The 22,665-nt window shown below is 36.4% G+C and overlaps 1 long non-coding RNA gene across 4 annotated transcripts in view; it reads right to left on the minus strand.

The window, feature by feature from the left end:
• Nucleotides 1-8,855: 8,855 nt before the first annotated feature.
• LINC00320 (long intergenic non-protein coding RNA 320) overlaps nucleotides 8,856-22,665 on the minus strand; it is a 60,519-nt gene continuing 46,709 nt past the window's right edge. For all 4 annotated transcript variants that reach the window (NR_109786.1, NR_109787.1, NR_024090.2 and 1 more), the window contains one exon: nucleotides 8,856-10,099. This is a non-coding gene — a long non-coding RNA (long intergenic non-protein coding RNA 320). The remainder of the gene's footprint in view (nucleotides 10,100-22,665) is intronic.

Raw genomic sequence — 22,665 nt, forward strand, 5'->3', positions numbered from 1 at the left:
ACTGAGGTACTAGAGAGTTAGGACTTCAACATCTGACTTTTAAAGGGACGCAATTCAGTCCATAAAGCATGTTTTGTTTTTGTTTTTGTTTTTTTTTTTTTGAGATGGAGTCTCACTCTGTCACCCAGGCTGGAGTGCAGTGGCCCAATCTTGGCTCACTGCAAGCTCCACCTCCCCGGTTCACACCATTCTCCTGCCTCAGCCTCCCGAGTAGCTGGGACTGCAGGCCCCCACCACCATGCCCGGCTAATTTTTTTGTATTTTTAGTAGAGACAGGTTTTCACTGTGTTAGCCAGGATGGTCTCGATCTCCTGACCTTGTGATCCACCCACCTCGGCCTTCCACGGTGCTGGGATTACAGGCATGAGCCACCGCGCCCAGCCCATAAAGCATGTTTCTTTAAATATTAGCATTTGAGGTATTCATTTCACCGGTGTTACCACCTCTCACACACTAGGTATCAGGGCAATTTCCGTAACTGCAATGCACGGTCTCAGAGAAAGGACAATTAGAAGCCAAGAGTCGGCAAAGAAAGAAAAGGTGTGTTTTGCCCATCTTCCCATGATGCCTCAGAGAGACATGGGGAGTGGAGGCTGGGTGAGCTCCTGATCACACACATGGCTTTCTAGTCGAGTGAAGGGACCTTCGATAAGGTAAGCATGAGAACAAACTGATTCAAAGAGGGATACACACGAGTTTCGGATTTGAGAGCCAGGCTGTCTGCACTGGTTGATAGCTTTTCTTTACAGTTATCTGAAAACAGGGGTATCTGGGAAATTTAATCCCTCTCAGCATCACAGCAAAATCAATGTCAGTGTAGTTGCTTCCATGAGAAGAGGAGCGGTGGCTGAGGTTCTGGGAAGCACACTTCAGACAAGGCCAAGGTCAAGGCCTGACTGATTCAGCCAGTAAAAACACAATGGCCTTTTTAGATTCAGACACTTTTATCACTTACATAGACCATGCAAGTAAGTATAGCCAAAGATGCCCGCTCCCTAGCTCCTTATCCCACACACCAAACAGATGACACTGACATAAAAGTCACAGAATCATCACAGTACCAGTTGTGGAAAACTCTGCTGAGATTCAGTTCTTGAATGCAAAATTCCTTTTATGATCTGCAACTATACCCCGAGATGGAGTGGGGACATAAACCCTCAGAACCCCAGAAACAATGAGAAACTATTTCAAAATAGCCTCCCAGGGAAAAAGAGGATGATTTGGAAATGGCCCTGAGATAGAGCCTCACAAGCCTTCTATCTTTGCCTGTTGAGGGAAAATCACAAACTATTCCTCCAAGACTCGAGGAACAGTGTTTTAAGCCTTTGCCTGTATGGATATGTGGATAGGTGTAAGGTCTCCAGGCCACCATGCTGATGCTGTTCCCCTACAGATCTCCCTGGCTGACTGTCCATGAAGCACAGAGTGAAGATTCAGGGTCATTTTTAGACAATCCTACCCTTTTATCCCTTTTATCACAGATATAGTAAATCAATAGTAAATAAGAAATCAACATCCACCCTGAATCATATGCAAAAGAAATGATTTCTGGGTATTGGTTTGAATTGCAAAATGCAATTTAAACATTCTGTAGTCATAATTTGATCCCCAGGTCACAACATAATTCATTTTAGGAAAAAAGAAATCAAGTGTAAGACTGAAAGCAAGGATGCATTAATCAGGGTTGCCTATTATTTCTTCCTTTGATCTCCCTGACCGTAATATTACTGACAGGAATTCAGTCATGCAGTGGGAGGTTACAGGGCCCTTTGTAAAAAAAACAAGTTTTGTAGATGTTTTAAATTTTAAAACACCACAGTCCTTTTAAAGTCATTTTGCACTTAAATTATTCAATGTTGGCAGATAGTTTAAGTCATCTCATTAATGGCTGTATCTGTGGGTTGTTTTTTTCCTCTTTCATGTAAATCATAACACATTGTAATGATAGGGTAGGTCATGTAGGGTTTCTGGAGGCCAAAAACTTTGAAAGAAACACAAGGATTTTTAGAAATGGAAAGCTTCATTTTACATTTCACTCTGAAATATATATTTAAAAAAACATGAGATTGGCATCCTCATACTCTGATTAAAATAGATTCTTTCAACAAAGTATCATTTTAGTTATGGCATGTATATTATCTGATTTTTTTTCAAAATATAAGAAACTTCAATTTATTTCCTGCAGTAACAGTATGTGATTTTTTAAAATACATATTCACACTGATAAATTAATATCATTAACCAAATGATCATATAATTTTCATTCATCACCTTTGCATGTTAAAAAGAAAATATATTGCATCCTAATACCTTTCACTAAAATACTGCAGAAGTAGACAATGTTAATAAGTATAGTGCTCAGGAGGCATGAAAAGAGAGTACTGGGAGTCAGCTTGAGAATGCACAATAAGGATTAGTCACATTGCTTATTCTGCCTCATACTCCACAGCAGCTAACTAAATCTGTACTGTATTTGTCATTAACAACAAAACAAGCTCACAGTAGAAAAAGGAGAGAATCATTAAATGGTAGGAAAAGATATATATTGGTCATCTAATACAACAGTTTGTAATGAGAGGAGCAGAAATTCAAGGAATCTGCAGTATGATCCAGTGATTTGCTGAAAGAAAGTATTAGATATTTCAATCACTTGTGATACATTGATTCCATTTTCATCTTATTTTTTATATTTTAAATGTGTAAATTTGTTTGTACAGGTAGTACATGAATATGATTATACATTATATAGTTGTACATGAATATAATTTATAAAGAATATTAATATGCTATATGTGTATGCTGAATTACTTTCGTTCTTGAAGATGAGAAAACAAGTAAGTTTAGGAACTGAAGGGATAATATATTTCTCTTCTTTTCGGCAAATCATTGAGTTATTCTTCATGTTGTGCCTGGAGAGGGAAAGGGCAAAAAAGGTCACGCTACTTATATTACTTAGGACTGAGTATTCAAAGTGTATTAATGACAAAAATATTTTTAACCTCCAGTGAGCACAAAAGCCAATTGTTAACAAAATAAATACTTAACTGGCTTCTCACAAAAGTCAGATTTCAAAATAGCACATGGTATTCATTTTTTACTGCTGCTATAACAAATGCCCACTAGTTTAGGGGCTTGAAAGGACACATATTTGTAGAATTTGATCCTTCTGGAGGGTAGAAGTCTGAAATGCATCACCAGGGCTCTGTCCTCTGCAGGATCCAGGGAGACTTTGCTTCCCTGCCCTTCCCGGTTTCCAGAGACTGCCTTTCTAGACGTCTTCAAAGCTAGAAGCGCAACATCTTCAAGTCTCATTCTCTACCCCTTTGCTTCTGTAATTACATTGTCTTCTGACTTACCCCTTTGCTTCTGTAATTACATTGTCTTCTGACTTCAGAGGGGCCCACCTGGGTAATCTTGGTTAATCTCCTCGTTTAACTTTATCACAACTGCAAAGTTCCTCTTGCAATATCAACTAACAGTCACAGATTCTGGGGATTAAGACATGAACATCTCTGGAGACCATTATTCAGTCTTATAAGTCATTTTTAGCTTTCTGAAATCTTCCTGATCAAAAATATTTTCATTTTGTTCTAATATCCACTCAAAAACCTGTCTTTACTCTCTTCCTTCCATTAATCTCTTCAACAGTCATTTAAAAATCAAGTTACTTTTCTACACTGAAAGTGTAATCAAAGTGTCAGTAATCAAAGTGTCAGCTTCAACATTTTCATTTCTTTGAAAATCCCAAGAAGACTTTGTTTGAACAAAGCATTCTTAAGTGATGGAAAATTTACTGAAGCTTTTGTAGAAAAGAAAGAAAAAGTTTACATTATACCTGCCCATTATGCAGCAAAAAACCTTAAATGTGTCTCCTAAAAGGGAAGCTCACCAGAAATCTGTGGCTTTCAACACCCCATGCTCTTCTTTCAACTCTTGCCTGGATGTAGGAGCACTTTAAGAAAGGAGCAAAATGCCCATTTAAATTACAGATGAGCTGGCTCAGTATGTGTTTACAAATCAAAAATAGATAGCAGCTTCTGTATGCTGCTTTCTGGGGTGATCATGAAAGACAGAGCTGGGGAAAATGCTCCCAGTGGGCAGAGTTTCAGGAGCAGCATCTTATCATGTACTTTATACACACAAAAAAGGACCATGGTATTAGCAAGTCTATGGCCTTACGGCCAGAGGGTAAGGCCTGGCTAGTTGTTCAGAGGCTTAGAAAGAAAAGGATTGGAAAATATGAGGCAAAGAACTCAGGGTTAGAGGCATGAAGATAGACACATGGGAGTGGGCACAAACTATGATGATCTTTTTATAACATATTAACAGATACCAAAGAACATTTTGTCTCAGTTGTTGAATTAAATAACCAACTAGACAAAATGACTGGTAGGTTGACATCCATCAGCCTCTGCCGTTGACTGCTTCAGAATTAACACAATAGGCACGCAAAAGAAGTGGTCACTGTAGTAGACATGGAAAATATGAATGGGCCCAACAGAGAGGATTCTCACTTTTCATGGATAATCTAGCTATTTCCATTGCCAAACAGCCAACCTGATAGCAATAAGCACTAAGGCTGACCCCTCACCACGGCACTATTCTTCTAGGCCACCATCCAGCCACTTGCTGGGAAAGTGACCACCTTAGGCTCTTTCATATACGGATAGCCACCAGTCTATTCTCACAGAAATATAAAAAGACATTCTGGAGATCGATTTCTCTTGCCCTAAGAGCCTCAACAAGCACCACTATTTTACCATTTACGGTGTTTAATTTACTAGCCAGGATCCTGTCTAATATCACCTGAGATCAATGGACCCACTTTTCAGGATATAAGTAGGCCCTGACCTTGAGATCCACTGCTCAGATCACATAAGATCACCACCCAGGACCTGCTGGCCTGATACAGAACTGAAGCAATGGCGGATACATTTCTGAATCCCCAGTCTAGAGGCCATATTCTGTGGAGATGAGATGCTGATATGGTTTGGGTCTGTGTCCCCACCCAAATCTCACCTTGAATTGTGATAGTCCCCATATATCATGGGAGGCACCTGGTGGGAGGCACCTGGTGGGAGGTAATTGAATTATGGGGGCGGGTTTTTCCCATACTGTTTTCGTGATAGTGAATAAGTCTCATGAGATCTGATGATTTTATAAACAGGAGTTCCCCTCCACATGTTCTCTCTTGCCTGCTGCCATGTAAGATGTGCCTTTTGCCTTCTGCCCTGATGGTGAGGCCTCCCCAGCCATATGGAACGGTGAGTCCATTAAACCTCTTTTTCTTTATAAATTACCCAGTCTCTGGTATGTCTTTATTAGCAGCGTGAGAACAGACTACTATAGATGCCATCCTCTAGGAGGTAGGATATACATTGCATCAAACACCATTATGTGATTCTGTGGCCTAAAGAAAGAGTACATGGTTTTGTGATATAAGGAAGGGAAGCAGAGGTCATTATTCTCATGACCCACCATGGGACTTTGTACTTCCCATGCCTGCGACTCTGGACGCTTTAGAGTAGACATCCAGGTTCCCCAAGGGGTTAGAAAAAGCAAGTTTCCAACTGAGCTAGAAACCGGGCACAGCTGTCCCCTGGGCACTCTGAGGTTTTTGTTTCAAGGACAAGCAGACAAGAAGTGGAGTCACAATCTTGGCAATGGTAATTGACCTTCATGTTGATGAAAAGGCAAAAGTGGTGTTATGCAATGGAGCAGTGAATATTCGTGGCACCCAGATAATCTAGTTAAGTAGGTCTTGGTAATTCTTCACCCAATTGTGACAATTGCAAAAAGACAGATACGGCAATCTGGCCAGAGAAGCTGTGATGAACAGGAAGTCACACCCTCAGGGATGATGGTCTCGGTCTCATCATGAGGTAAGTCATCGGTGAGGCCAGCAGAGGGAGTAGCTGAGGATAAAGGGGAAAGAAAATGAAAAGTGGAAGAAGGAGTCTATAAGTATCACTTGGTCCCTGAAAATTAAGTACAGCACCAGGGCTATAGTTCACTTAACTAATCTGTTATACTTTTACTCTCCAAAAAAAAGAGTGTCGTGAATTCATGGAGAGCTAATTGCTGAAAGTATATGAAAAAGTGAATCCGAGAGGCAAAGGGAGTGCATTGTGGTAGTCAGGGGGATGTTCCTTCTAGATGCCCCTTCGAGAAAGTGCTCGCTGCCAGGCTTCAGGGAACGCAGTCTGTAGACATCTCCAACTGTCACCTTTCTGTGGTTTGTCTCAGCGGCAGACAGCTGCCTCCCTGAAGGTCACATGTCACCCAGGACAGTCCATATCCAGTTATAAGCGGAGGTGAGGATGTAAAGGCCTGGACATTTCATCTCGATAGGGAACAACACTGGCAAGCGATGTTTGCTCTGGAGTTCCAGACAACATTGCCCAGAACATTGTCAGGCTTGCATTGCTTGTGCAGCTGCCCAGTGGACAGAAAACTGAGGCAAATGCAAAGACATATACCTAAAGGAGCAGTGCTGTGACTTCACGCTAGATTCCCGGAGACTTTCCATTTTCTGCAGAGTCCCTTCAGCAGATTGGTTACCCTTGAATTCTGTGGCACAGCCCTGGGTACTTTCATAAAAGCTCCCTGTTCACCTACTCCCTCCTTTCCATCTTGGTAGAAATGGATTTCTACTAATTTCAACCAAAAATTCTTAAATTTAGGCAAACAGCCTATTTTTCGCTTACTCATTTATGTTTTTCTTTCATAAAGTCCACTTTTTATATGAAAAAATATACCAATTTATTTGGGTTTCTGCAGTAGATAACTTTCAGGTATTTGCTTTTCTCATGCATTTTTATGGTATCACTTTCTTCACTTTATAGAAAATTGTATAGAAACTGTACTACCTTTGTTTTATTATATTAAATTATTTATTACAGATATAGCAAGAAAAATATTTTATTCATATCCATTATTTTCACCAACCAAGAATATATAAGAATATCCCCACCTGGGCATACTTTTTACATAAGCACTGGTTAAATCTAGGCTTGCCCATATCTACACTTGACAAGTTTATCTTTAGAGTACGGTATTCTGTTCTATTCTCATAAGACAATTGCATTCATAGAACACAGGTTTCTTGTATGCAGCCTCAAATAAGATTATTGCTTAGTTTTCTGATAATTTAAAATAAAGAACAACATGATGTTGAGAATTCACTATTTCCAAGAATATTCTCATATCCACCCTGCTGAAAGTGATTTTTTTTTTTTATAAAATTGCTTACAGGTTGCAATACTGTATACTTCTACACAATTTTCAGTCTTTCTGACTCTCTGCAGCACTGATTTCTTAGAACTGAAATCCCCAAATGGCTGTAAAACTATGGGCAAGGGTACAAAAACCTCCTCAGAATGTATCAACTGTCCATCATAATGGTAACTATCTGGTTTTCCAGTTAGTAGAAACCTGGGTTCTCTGGGTCAGACTTTAAATGAAATTTATTTCTGTCTTTTGTTGTGGACTCTGCTCCACTACATAAGTAAACTATTTCCAAGTGCATAATTACTTTTCCCAACCTAGTTCCATTAACCTTATAGTTAGTGGAAATATCTTCCAACTTCCAAATTCTGATGTCAGTTATCTCAGTGTTTCTATGCTGGTGTTTGGTTTGTTTGTTTGTTTGTTTGTTTGTTTGTTTGAGCTAGCTTCTGGTCTGAGGCTACCACAGCTATTTTGAAGTCACCAATTATTATAATAACCTTTATATTTACCTCTTGGCTTGTGCCAGTTCTTAAGCTATTGTGTCTCTGCTTCAAACTCAGCTTTCTGTATTCAGCTTTGTTATTCTAGGAACTCTACAAACCATCGTTCCCAATTAGCTAGCTGGTGCCTCCGAGTTATGAGGAAACATGGATGAAATTTTGAAATGACATCTTGATTGCGAAAGAAGTCAGACTCCCCCAGAATACGCATGCTACATGATTTCATTTATGTGACAGGCTAAAATTGGGCAAAATAAATTTAAGGTAATGGAAATCAGGAAACGTTTTTGTCTATGGTGTGTATGGACTGACTATAATAAGAAAGCACAAGGAAATTTTCTTGGATGACTCTATCGCTATTGAGATATGTATGGAGGTATGTACATTTGTAAAGCTCATCAAATTGTATACTTAATATTTGTACATTTCACTGTGTTCAGATTTTAATTCAATTTTAACAATGCCTGATATAATTGAATCAGGGCTAAGAAAAAAATAAACTACAGAAGGTAAAAAAGGCAAAAATTCAGAGTAATAGTTTTTTTGTTTGTTTGTTTGTTTGTTTTTTTGAAACCAGGTCTTGCTGTGTCGCCTAGGCTGGAGTGCAGTGGCACAATCTCGGCTCACTACAGCCTCTGCCTCCCAGGTTCAAGCAGTTCTCCCACCTCAGCCTCCAGAGTAGCTGGGATTACAGGCGTGCGCCACCACGCCCGGCTAAATTTTTTTTTTTCCATGTTTAGTAGAGATGGGGTTTCACCATGTTGGCCAGGCTGGTCTCAAACTCCTGATTTCAGCTGATCCACCTGCCTCAGCCTCCCAAAGTGCTGGGATTACAGGTGTGAGCCACCACGCCTGGCTGTAATGGTTATCTTTTGAGCAGGCAGGTAGTGATCTGAATGAAGTATTATAGAAACTTCTGGAATGTTGGCAGTATTTGCATTCTTGATTTGGATGCTAGTTTTGTGGGTATGTTCAATTTGTGACAATTAAATATATATATTATATATATATATATATATAATATATATATATATGAAGTTGAAATGGCCTATAAATACTTGTTTTCTAAAGCCAATGATGCAATATTCAAATACTTCTTGAATTATTGTACTAAGGTAATCATTCAATAATACAGTCATCCACAGATTTTATTATTAATAGTAAAAGAAATAAAAAGAGCACACTAGGGGAGATGAGTGACAAACAAGAGGAAAATAAAAGGTAACTTTGTGAGAGGCAAAGTTTTGAATCTCAAGGAGTAGTGGAGTCTGTTCTATGCTTCATGTGATGTGGCAATAAATTTCAGCTCTGCCCTCCTGGCTGACAGCTGTTTTCAAGATGAGAGAGAGAAATAAGAATGATTTTTTCTTGAAGAAAACAGATGGTTACTTAGGTGTGTAAATTTTTTCCAACGGAAGATTACAAAAGCGGAAAGACAGGTGCTTTGTACACAGTCTTTTGTTTTATACTTTTATTGAAACTGTTAGCTGCATTGCCAACTGTCATTTTCAGTTGTCACTAAAGTAAGCAATGTAAAAATGAGAAATAAATATTATGGTCACTAAAACTGCTGTTGTGTTTGATGTGTATGTATATTGTCTGTTCGATAGATGTTTCTCTCTTGTTATATGTTTATTTTTCAATTTTACACATCTGTCTATACACATTGTCTTTCCATATATATTAACATATGCACTGTTAAACGATTATTGGCATAACTATTAATAATTGCAGATCTGCTATAAAACCACAGCCAACCAATTTTTCTACACAAGAGAAATTAGTTTACTCCAGTTTAGTAACTGAGCTACATTGGTATATAGTTGTAAGCCCTTACGTTATTGCAAAGGTGTTTTAGCGATTTAGCAATATTCTTTGTGATCTTTACTGGAGAGGAACCAAAAATACTGAGGCTGTTATTCTATGTAAATCTGTTACCCTTACTCTCTAGATTTCTAGCTAATTCCTTCCTCAGGAGCAGTCCTAAATTGTACTCTGGTACAACAAGAGACTTAGGTGTAGGCCCTTGTTGAACCAGGTTCCTTTAATTCCCAAAAGACAAAAAATAAAGAAGCCATCTCAATCCCTCTCTTCAGCTCTTTCTAATAACATGGAAAATATTTCAGCAACGGGCTTACTTAAATGACATACCAGACAGTTCACACTATCATAAAATTCTCAATATCTGAGTCCCCTCCCTTTATGACAGGAGTAGTGATGGGAACATCAAGTCATTGAGAGTAGTGTTTAAAGTTCATCTTCTGGTTGAGCCAGGGAGATGACCAGTTTCTCAGTGTTTAAAGTTCATCTTCTTGCTGAGCCAGGGAGAAGACCATTTTCTCTGGAAAGTTTAGGAAATCTGGGAACGACTGAAAAAACAAGGTTAATATCAGAGTAATGCCCTTTAATCTAACCCATAGGCATATAGGATACCTTAATTTGAACAGAATGATCGCATCCATTCTGTCTTTATTAAGCATGAGCTATTGAAAGTTCTGTTTACGTTGGCTTATATACCAGGAGACACATCCAGTCACTCTCCAAAAAAACCAAGCACACAAACCAAAACAGAGAAGAAAGAATCCAGTAAACTACAATGGTGTCATCCTACCCAAGGAATTTGAAATGTAGCAAGAGTAACACAGCTGCCATAGGTACCTCAGTGTTGAAACAAACAAATGCTCTCCTCTTAATTTGGGAAACATTATATTCTCCTGTTCTTAAAAATAAAGGTTGTTTTCAGTAATTTTCTGTTGCATTATCTCTAAATACTGAAGCATAGTTGGGGTATATATCTACTATATATATAATAAATATACATATATACTTAGCTTTATGTATATACATACATTCACGTGTAAAAAAATACATACATAGATATATTTTATATATATATTTTATATATATATATAAAGTATGTATATATACTAAACTTGAATTGGGAACACGATCTTCTAAGCATGTACATAACTAAAGATATCTATATGCCTAAATACTTCTCTAGATACTTAAATATGTATTTCCTTTTTTTGCATTGTGATTACTATAACTCTAGACAACTTCCAGCCAGAACAAATGTTACATGCAGTATAACGATTTCACTTTCAGTATAAAGATTTGAGACTATATTAGCTGAGGAATTATGTCAACTCTTCATTTTATTTTGAATAGAAGTATCAATCACTACATGAACATTTACATGAAAACAGTGTAACTTAATTTCTTTCTGAAACAGAATGTTTTTTATATTAGAGCATTTCATTTGAAATTTAATATCTGTGTATAACTGAGTCACTTTTATAAGCTATATTAAACTTGTACGTCATGGAAATAGACATGAAAAACCATGAATAAAATACAGAAAATAAGTTATTATCAAATTTCTTTTTACAAGAATGGAATATTAATAACTAATAATTGAAAACAGATAACCTTTAATCATTATTTAATATGTGTTATGTGTTTTTCTAAGTAATTTATATCTCATAATTAATTTAATCTTTACTACACTCCTGGCAGATAGATGATTTTACAAATGAATGACATAGGGCAGAGAAAGAAAAAATATTTTTCTCAAGTTTACAGCTGATTTGTTGCATAACAGGAATTTGGATCCTGACTTTGCAGCTAGTTTAAATCACAGGCTTAATTCTGTGCCGTGTACTTTCTTTACTTCTCTTGTAACTGATTATGTTTCTCCAGATTTGTATTTTTTAATCTATATTAGATTTACTTTCTACATCTTTCAGTTAACATGTTATTAAATTTTTCAAAAGTTTTAAAATTATGTGTAATTATATGTCACTTTCAAATTTGGGGAAATAAACTTGGAATGTAAATAAGTATATAATACAATTAGAAACAACCTTGTTATTTAAATGACTTCACTACTATGGATCAGAATTGTTTTTTCATCTTTGAGACAAATATATTAGAGGAAGTGGCAAATGCCCTACTATTTAGATTCTGAAAAATTCAAAAGCAATGATTCAAAAGCAAAAATTCAAAACCAATAATTTCCTTAACATGACATGAGGAAATTTTCCGACTTTGCTTTCTGCTTTCGATGATTGGTGATATGTTGGGGAAGATGAAGTTTATGCAAACTGATTCCTGACACTGTCCTATGACTTTAAAACTATTCCTCATCTAGATCTTGCTTTCAAAACACTTTGTAAATTATAAATAGCGACACAATGCCCCAAATAGTAAGTACAATGTAGAGACCTACATGATATGTATTCCCTCAAAATAACAACTACAAATAAAATACCAAGATGAATCATAAGTTTAGCTATTCTTTCTGGAAACTCATTCCAGAAAGGAAATGTAAAGTTTTCGACCTTTAATCTCACCCTATTGCACTCTGTGCTTGAAGTTTCAATAAGTTTCAAGTGACACATGAGACTAGCTAGGAGACACCGTTAAGTGATGTTCACATCTCAGTTCTTAATGGGGACTTTGTTCTTCTTTGGATCTTATAAATGGCATTTCTTTCTTATTCTTCCCTCAGTGATGGCTCTAAATACTTTGGAAGACCCTCTACCAATCACTCTTGTCATACTTCATGATGAATAGCACTGTGCTGCCCAGAAAGGAAGAAACCAAATGTGTTTGCGGCACCGACCTAGAGGCATATGTCAAAATATATATGTACAAAGCCACAAGACTTATTAAAGTCATTGTCAATTTTTTGCCCTTGAAAATTTACAATTAGCTACATGGGAGTATAAAGTCATTCATCCAACTCTTTTGACTCATTCTTCTATATTGCTTTCTCTTTCTCTCTTTTTCCCTTAATGAGAAGGATAAAAATATCGTAATTTAGATGTGATGCAACATTTATCTTTGCAAGGAAAGAGACTGATAACACTGACATTTCAAGTAAAGTGTAATTTCTTCAGAAAAAAAAGACAAATGCCATATAAACACAGCCTGTCACCAATCTTAATCTTTAGAAAACAAGGCATTAAATTCCACCAGAAAATGATCAATTACGCTTTTCCTATTGAGAGACATTAATTTTATTATCATTCATCTGTGTTCTATTTATCTAATTAATATTTAAAATATTGATATTTTTAACAATTAATTAAGTTTCCTGTACACACATATACCCAATTTTCTCTATTTTTGATATTTTTTACCTCTCGAATATCCAAAAATGAGCTTAAGTTAGCATACTAAGATTATGCAACCTTGTTTCAATTTCTCTTGATAATTATCCATGACCAATTCAACAAAATTTATCTCTAAAATATTTGCCTGCCTTCATGATCGTCATCAATGCTGTCCTATAACAATCTCTCATCAGCTTTCACTTGGACAACCTCATAATTGTTCTTTCTCCATTTGGCCCCCTTAAATAAATTTCCATCAAGCCTCAAGGATGATATACCTAAAAGGATATATACACCTAAAAGGATATAGGTGATACACCTAAAAGGATGATACACCAAAAAGGATATATTTCCATCAAGCCTCAAGGATGATACACCTAAAAGGATATATACACCTAAAAGGATATAGGTGATGCACCTAAAAGGATGCTACGCCAAAAAGGATATATTTCCATCAAGCCTCAAGAATGATACACCTAAAAGGATATATGATACACCTAAAAGATGATACACCTAAAAGGATGATACACCTAAAAGGATATATATACACCTAAAAGGATATACACCTAAAAGGATACACCTAAAAGGATATATGCCATAACCCTGATTTAAATGCCTAATTGTCACCCTGGCACATATTATGATAGTTCATCAGTGGAAAGGCTTAGTCGGAGAAACTTTTCTTTTTTTTTTCTTTGAGATGGAATCTCACACTGTCGCCCAGGCTGGGTTGCAGTGGTGCGATCTCCGATCACTGCAACCTCCGCCTCCTGGGTTCAAGCGATTCTCCTGCCTCAGCCTCCTGAGTAACTGGGATTATAGGCACCCGCCGTCACGCGTGGCTAATTTTTTTTTTTTTTTTGTATTTTTAGTAGACACAGGGTTTCACTATGTTGGCCAGGCTGGTCTTGAACTCCTGACCTTGTGATCTGCCCACCTCAGGCTTCCAAAGTGCTGCAATTACAGACGTGAGCCACTGCATCTGGCCAGCTGAAGAAAGTTTTTTCCACTTGAATTTTCAGCCTACCCTACTCCTTTCTCTATTATTATATAGCATAAGCTTAGAAGCTATTCCTTTCAATAGTCTCCTAGGCAATTCTGCTTCTAATATCATCACTATAACCCTTTAGCCATCCTTCCTCACTCTGACTTTACTGACAACAGTCAATCTGCTAATAGTGACAAAGTTTTTCATTCTTCCATCTCTTTGTATCACCTAGTGTAACTCTCATCACTCTCAAACTGCCACTTTACACATTATTAATAACCAAAGAAGTGGTTATTAATAGGGTTAGGGTTAATTTTCTTAGCAATGGTTATTAATATGGTTATCAATGTTGGCACAATGATAACCAAATAATTAGCTGTTAATAATTTGTAAAGTGGAAGTTTGAGAGTGATGAGAGTTAAACTAGGTGATACAAAGAGATCTCTCTGCGAACCATATTTATCTACCCTTTCATGTTAATATATTTGCCTACAACAAGAGTCAGTCCTCTGCCTGTGTGATTTTGTTAGAACACAGTTACACTTATTGCCACATATGTTGTTAATGTCTATTTTTGCACTACAAGAGTAAGGTTGAAAAATGTAAAGACCAACACATGGCCTTCAATGCCTAAAATATTTGCTATTAGGCCTATTATAGAAAAAGTCCCAACCCCTGACCTACAATGTACTTTTATTCCTTCAACTACCTAATCTCTACTTACATTCAGATCGAGATGCATTAGTTCTACATGAAAACAAAAGAATATGCATACTGCCCATTGAAATGGGGTTACCACCACTTCTCTAAGCAAGCCTTTTTTTCCTGAACAGTCATACTCTTTAAGCATACATTTATTCTATAGAAATTTCCTGTTTATTTTTCTGTCTTTGCTGTATTCTCCTTTGTAAGAGATACTTTTCAATTTTCTATCTGCATCACAAAAACCTAGAGCATAGCAAGCAGATAATATTGTTGCAGACTTGAAATGGCAGGAATAGTGCTGGCAAGTGAAGATCCCACCATTATTATCTGCCTAAAGTCAAAGGGATGACAAAGTAGTAGGAAAAATGTTGTGATTACAATTTCTTACAATACAGCCTTATAATGGCACTAGTTGAAATAACGAGTAAAAAAACAATGGAAGTTAATAAAGAGAAAAAATCTGATTACCAGAAAGTAAGTCTGTCAGGAAAGTTTTGTTCTAAGAGGAAAAAATAGATTTGAGATCCCAACCATGTGCCAAATGCATCTTGCTAGGATGGTATTAATGATCCAGTTTTCTTATTTAGCTAAAACCCTAAGAAAAGGAATAATATATCTATGCCCCCAAACTAGGAAACAGATGAATGTTACATTCTGTCACTTTCTGAAGTTCATGGCTCTTTAGACTAGATGAGAACAAGTTGCCCAAAAATCTCTTTTCCCAAAGCAGTGATGTGGGATCTGAATGGCTATTAAACAAGCTCAAGTGTGGAATGTACACATGCAAAATAGTTTGATTTATCTCTTTTTACTGCCCTAGAATGTACAGTTTTACATTTTCCTTTCCTAATGGGAAGCCGATTCCTTAATGATATCTTAGGATGCTACCATTACTTTTCATTCACTTTGATATTCTAAGGATTCTGCCCAGCCTGGATGAAAATACTAACCTCAACCCTTCTCAAATCCTGTCTCCTACCCTTCCCTCAGTAGGCTCGTACTTGGGAATGTGAAGTGGATGAGGAAAGGTAGCTGGGTTTTCACTAGGTTTTGAACTACAGATTGTTAGAGTGGTGGATGAGGGGTGGGGAGGGCATGATTTGGTTCTAGGACAAACTTTTCTCTGTTAACTTCCAGTATCCAGTTCTCTCTTTTTTATATAACAGCATTTTAAGTATTGTTAATATATCTCTATCCTATCTCTCAGTTCCTGCATTAAGAGAAAAAGACTATATACAAATAATATATCCCTCATAAGTATCAAACTCAATAAATAAATGTACCCAATAAATACAGCATTGGAATATAAGAATATATTTTAGTATATTTGTTAACTATGTAATTTGAATAGATTAACTGAATACATTTTTAATGTATTCAGGAATGTGAAGAATACATTCACAGAAATACATTTTGAAATGTTCTGCCATATTTTCAATAAAAGACATATGAACAATAATACATCTGCAGGGAAAATAGTCTTGAGTTTTTTTGTTTGTGATTAAGGAATTTATAAGGGCTTTTTACATCCTCTATTGGTTTTTGAAGGCTGTTGATAACTCTGGGTTTGAAGGTATTCTCTCCTCCTTTTCAAGCATACGACTATCCCTTCTCATTCTGGAGACATGGGCTGCTTAAACCAGCATTTCACCCTCAAATATTTCCAGCAAAGAAAGAACCAGGCTCTGTGCTCACAGTTTTCCCCAACAAACAGGTGATACATGTCAACTTTTCCTATGAATATTCTACCCATACTGTCCCCAGCCTGGTTATATTGCTAATTCCACAATTTAGCAAACTCCTTGCCAGAGATCAAGATCTCAGTGTCCTCTACCTGTATACAATGCAGCCATCAAAAAGAATGAGATCATGTCCTTTGCAGGGACATGGATGGAGCTGGAGGCCGTTATCCTGAGCAAACACACGCAGGAACAGAAAACCAAATACTGTATGTTCTCACATGTAAGTGGGAGCTAAATGATGAGAACACATGGACACATACAAGAGAACAACAACACACACTGGGGCGTTTTGGAAGGTGGAGGGTTGAAGGAAGAGGGTCAGGAAAAACAACTGATGGGTATGAGGCCTAATACATGGGTGATGAAACAATCTGTACAACCAGCCCCCATTACAGAAATTTACCTATGTAACAAACCTGCACTAATACCCCTGACCTTTTAATAAAAGTTAAACACATATAAATATACATATGTATATAATCTCTTGATATTGAAGAGTTCGTGTGTATATAATATGTATTATATATACACAAAGTGTGGCAGTCAGGGCCATAAGAATGCTCAGGGGAACTCAGGACAGAGCAGGGATCTCTGCAATGAGGTGAGACAAGGGATAAAATTAAGGAAATTATGTTATTTCAATGTTAAATGGTGACCCAGAAGGCACAGAGCTTGAGGATGCTCAGATCGCACCAGTTATTAAACTCTAACTCAATATGAACATATTTTCCTCCATCTTAGAGGCTCAGGATCCTTTTTTGTTTTAAGAGAGAAAGTCTTGCTATGTTGCTCAGGGCTCAAATGATATTCCAGCCTCAGCGGAATACATTTTAGTGGCTCATTTTCAAGTCTTAAGAGTTTCTCAAGTGATCATCTATTCTGTTCTGCTACCCTACATACACACACACACACACACACACACACACGCACACACACACACACTTACTTCAAAATCAAGAGATTGCCCTCTTCCTTGGTTTGGGAAATGGAAAATAAAACATCTCAGAAATCCCAAAGCAACATAATTCTTCATTTACTTTTCCCTAAAGGCTATATAGATGGAGATAGATAGGTGCGGACCCGGGGTGATGGTTATGGAATACCAGAACCAGCGTGGCCATCTGTTAATAAATTCTCAGACACAATTATGCTTATAATTTTTATAGTTTCTTGGTCATGTCTTTGGAATATAAAATATTGAGTGTCTCTTTTTCTTCATTCTTGAATTCTAGTTGAAAAAGCCAAAGCAACTGGAAAGATCCATTCAAAATTACATCTTATAAGTATTAACAATACTTAAAAAGAGAGGGGACGCTGGTTGAGAAAGTCACCTGGATCTGAATAGTAAAATATACGGAGACACAAAAGTACACGGTGTGTTGAACAACCCTGAATGCTTAGAATTTTGGAATGTAAAAATCAAAAAGTAAAGAGGAGAAGGTGAAGAGGGAAAGGTTTTCAGGAAACAGATGAGCAAGTGTCTTACATGCTCTATTTAAAGTTTCAAACATAGTCAAGAAATTTGTTTTTTTATATTAAAGCATATTCTCATCTAGATATGAGAGAAATTTTCAGAAATGTGTCTCACATTATTTGCTTTAAGCAATTCTACCAAAATTGAATATCTTTATCCATTGGATCTAAAGAGACTCATGGCTGGGCGAAGTGGATCACACTTGTAATCCAAACACTTTGGGAAGCCCAGGAGGGAGGATCCTTTGAGCCCAGTAGTTTGAGGCCAGCCTGGGCAACATAAGGATAACCTAGCTCTACCAAAAAAAAAAAAAAAAAAAAAAAGTAACCAGGCATCATGGCTCATGTCTGTGGGCCCAGCTACTCAGGAAACTCAGTGGGAGAGGGTCTCCCAGGAGGCTGAAGCTGCAATGAGCTATGATTGTGCCACCGCACTCCAGCCTGGGCAATAGAGCAGATTGTCTCAAAAGATATAAATAAATGAATAATTACATAAATTATAAAGAGCTTCACAAGTATAAAGGGTAAAATTTATGTAAAATATATTTTTATTATTTTCACAATGTCTTACTTAAAACAGGAAAGATTCTCAACATGATTTTTATACACTTTAAATTTTAGCATCGAAATTTGAATAAAGATGTTGAAAATAGTTCAGTTTACAGCTCTGTGGGGAAACTCCCGAGAACTAGATGGTTGGAACAAATATCAAATCAGAAAGATATTAAAGATGGCTGAACAAGAGCAGGCCATTAGGTGGAATATATAGAAATCAGTTAACACCAAAAAAAGTAAGTGTGCTGCATGTTCTGAAGCTATAAATTACCCTGAATTACTCACCTATCTAAAGAATATGATCTCTGTGGGTTTTTAAGTGGATATTAAAGGAAGTCTTATTATGCAAAGAGCAGATTTTTATAACTCTGGAAAGAATATGCCAAATAGTATAAAAATCTGGAAGCATGGTTGAATAACATTATCAGTTTCCAAAGATAAAATAGGAAATTCTAAGAATAAAAGTGTTGTCCATTTTTATGCTACATTCTCCAGTAAAAATAGCCAATGTTTCAAGTGATGACAATAAGTAGGGACTGAGAAGTATAAATTTATTCTATAAGTAAATGATATTACATTGTCAAAGTGAACAATGTATATTTGATTAAAATGTACAAATATGAAGAATCACAAAGTGGAATCTTCATAATAAGACTCAAATATTGAAATCTGATTAAAAATAAATGAAGCATGAACATGATTTTTTCTTTTTTATTGATAAATATTCTCTGATGGGAAATATCTGTTGAAATTTTTTAATGTCTAAAAAGTTGTTTTCATTTGTAATAAAATGAATATTATATAAGCATAAATATTTTAAATATTAAATTTAAAATTTTTATATGCTTCAATATTACATTCATAAAAGATGTTTAAAGAATCTACTGACAAGATAATCAGTAGAGATACATTTATATTTTACAAATTAAAAAAGGGCCAGGTAAAAGGTAATTTTAACGTGCAGATAAGGTTTTGAAAAGAGGTGAATAAGTCTAAATACGTATGCCAATGAAATTGTCTACTCTAATTGGATAAATTTTATTTTGAGATGTTAATATAAACTTTGTTTAACTCAGGAGAAAAACATATTTAGGCAAACACTACAAAGCATAAAACTTGCTGCTCAAAAAATCTAGATGGAAAGCTAGCCTTTAGAGAATTATTCAATTAAAGTATAATTTTATTTTTTTTCTTTTTTTTAATTATACTTTAAGTTCTAGGGTACATGTGCACAATGTGCAGGTTTGTTACATATGTATACATGTGCCATGTTGGTGTGCTGCACCCGTTAACTCGTCATTTACATTAGGTATATCTCCTAATGTTTTTCTAGTGTGTTATATTTTAGCTGAGAGTAAGAACCTAATTTCTTAGTGGAAAAAAGCAAATGTAGACAGTCAAGGTAAGGTGTTTCAAGTAAAGGAGAAAGGAAAAGGCAAGCCTCATGGCCTTTGTATCACTTGGAAGTCATACTTTATGTCATCATCACTAGTGACGACACACATCTCTTAATATCACTAAGTCCTCTGGCTCTACTTTGTATGTATGGCATGTGGATATCAATCATTTCTAATATTTGAGTTTTGGAAACAACCTTACACATTAAGTTCATGTAATCTCTAATCATCAAAAATTGCAAAGTCTTCATTGTGCCCTGCAAGCCTCTACTAATCTTCAGGTTTTCACTAGCTCTAAATTTACTCTTATGGTAATTTATATAAAACCATTTCATATAATAAACTGCATATATAATTGAAAAGGATTTGCAATTATGATAAAATAGTTATCTAATTGCTTTAATTCTCCATTATTTTCCTAGTATACTACTGAATTCCTGAATTTCCAATTCAATGTGTGCCCTAACTTTAACAGTGTTACTTTCAACGACTTACTCTCCACATAGATTCTCATGCTATTTAATTTTTGTTATGAGCAAATATAACTATCTTTATTGAGTCATGTAGGATGTTGATATAAACTTTGTTTGCAGCTTATCTATTATATTTTGAGAATTATAATACAAATCATAATACAAGAGGTATGTACAAGACATGAAGATCAAAAAATAAACACAAAAGTAAAGTTTTAACCCACAATTTCACAGTCTTACAGGGAAGATAGACACATATCAGGTAGTATAATAATGTGTGAAGTGCAATAACAAAGATTCAGATAACACTGTGAGTCCACAATGAAAATACACTACTCAGACTTGGGAAATCAGAGGCGGTTTTCTAGGTAAGGTAATGACTAAGCTGGCCCTAAAAGAACACACTAGGAGAAGTGTAATGTGGGACTGGAGAGATGAAGGAAAAGGTGTCTCAGGCTGAAAGAGCCATAGGAACAACAAGAAATAATTATATACATGGAAAATGTTCAGGAAATTAAAAGCAGGAACAGAAGCATAAATTCTAGAGGAAAAAGATTCAGATAATAAGATAGAAGAGTGCAGTCATGAAGATTCCTCTCAACTGAAGTGGTTTTAGAAACTGAAGGATTGGAATGTAGAAAGATATTTGATGTGGGGAGTTAGGGAGGGCGAGGTGATAAACATTACTCCGAGATTTGGACTTTGGGTGGAAGATCATAATGGCAAAAAACCACATAGGAATACAGAACAAAAGGGTACTGCTTACGTAGTTTATCCATTAGAGTTGTAAGACTGCAATCAATAGAAGACAATGTTGGCTATCTTAGGTAGAAAGGAAACTTGTTGGGAATAGTAGGCAGCCTCTAAGATGTTTTCCAATCATGTGAATCCCCTAGGATTCACAGCCTTGTATAATTCCCTTCCACTGACTGTGGGCTGAATTTATTGACTTACTTCTAATGAATAGAATAAGCTGAAGTGATGGGATATTACCTCAGGGATTAGGTTAACAAGAATGCTGTGGTTTTAATCATGGATGTTCTCTCTTTCCCTCTTAGATCACCAACCCTCGTAAAACCCAGCTGCCATGCTGTAAGAAAACCTTGTAGAGAGGCCCACATAGCAAATTTGGAAACAAACTTTCTGAGGTCTGCCAACAGCCACATGAGTGAGCTCACCTGCCCCAGCTGGGGCTGGCAATAGCTGCAGCCCCACCAACAGCATGATTGCAATCTCATTAGAAAACTAGAGCTGGAGGCACCCAGTTAAACCACTCCCAAATCCCTGAGCTACGGACACTGTAAGAAACAATCAACGTGGTCATTTTGAGTTGTTTCATTTTGAGGTAATTTGCTTTATATCAACAAATAACTAACACAGGAAGATATCAGATGGGGCATAGTTAGAATAGTAGCCATGAAAATAGGACAGCATCCAGAAAAGAAACCGAAGCAACAAGAACTGCTCAACCACGCAAGCGGGATGCCATCGTTGAAATAAGTGGACTTCAAGTTTTTGGTCCTTGTATTACAATATCCAGAATGATGGAGAGAGAATCCAGTTGTCTGTTTCAGAAACATGCTCACCCTTAGACCACAATATGGTAAATTAAAATACCTGCAAAAATAGCCTTTTACATTCTCTAAACACTCCTTTGGCATCTGCAGTGAGAGGGCAGAGCTCCTGAACTGACAAAAATGCATTCAAATGAGAGAGAGAGATTTTTCCAAAATAAAACCAAGCAGCCATCAAGAAAGACAAACTGGTGTTGGGTATACAACACACAGTGAATGCCCACTGTCTGGGGAGGAAGGAATCAACTATTGGACATAGTAACGTTTTTATGACATCTAGGTGAAGATGTATATGAACAGTTTAATATATGGGTCTAAGCTTAAATGAGAGAAGCCAGGACATAGTTGAGAGTCATCAGCACTTAGCTGGCATTGGAGTAAAGATAAATTTATTGTTTCATTTGTGGGAAGCAGGTCAAATAAGAAGAGACTTTAACTGATGGTGGGATGCTATGAAGTACCAACAATGCAAAGAAATATTTCAAAGAAATATCAACATTTTAAAGAAAAAGAGAAGCACATAAAGATAATAAGAAATAACAGTAATTTGAGAAGAATCAACAGAATCTTGGGCACCAAAGTCAAGGAGAAGAGAATTTCAAAGAAGTGACTGGCAGTATCAGTTGTACTAGAATATTTCAGTAAAATATCAACTACAAAATGGCCTTTACTTTTGGAAATCAATGTTGATAGATACCTTTCCTGAAAACACGTCAGTCATATCAATATCAATATCAAAATCGTGTTCATAAAAGTTGGTGGCTATTCCTTGCACTTAGAATCAAGTTCCGAGTTCTAGGCTTACTTTCAAAATTCTCACATAATATATCTGCTCAATTTAGCACCTGTAAAGACTGCTTATCTCCCTGGCAAGATTATATTTCACTTCAAAGATGGAGACTGTATCT

This window comes from Homo sapiens, chromosome 21, assembly GCF_000001405.40.
Source record: "Homo sapiens chromosome 21, GRCh38.p14 Primary Assembly".
Classification (NCBI taxonomy): domain Eukaryota; kingdom Metazoa; phylum Chordata; class Mammalia; order Primates; family Hominidae; genus Homo; species Homo sapiens.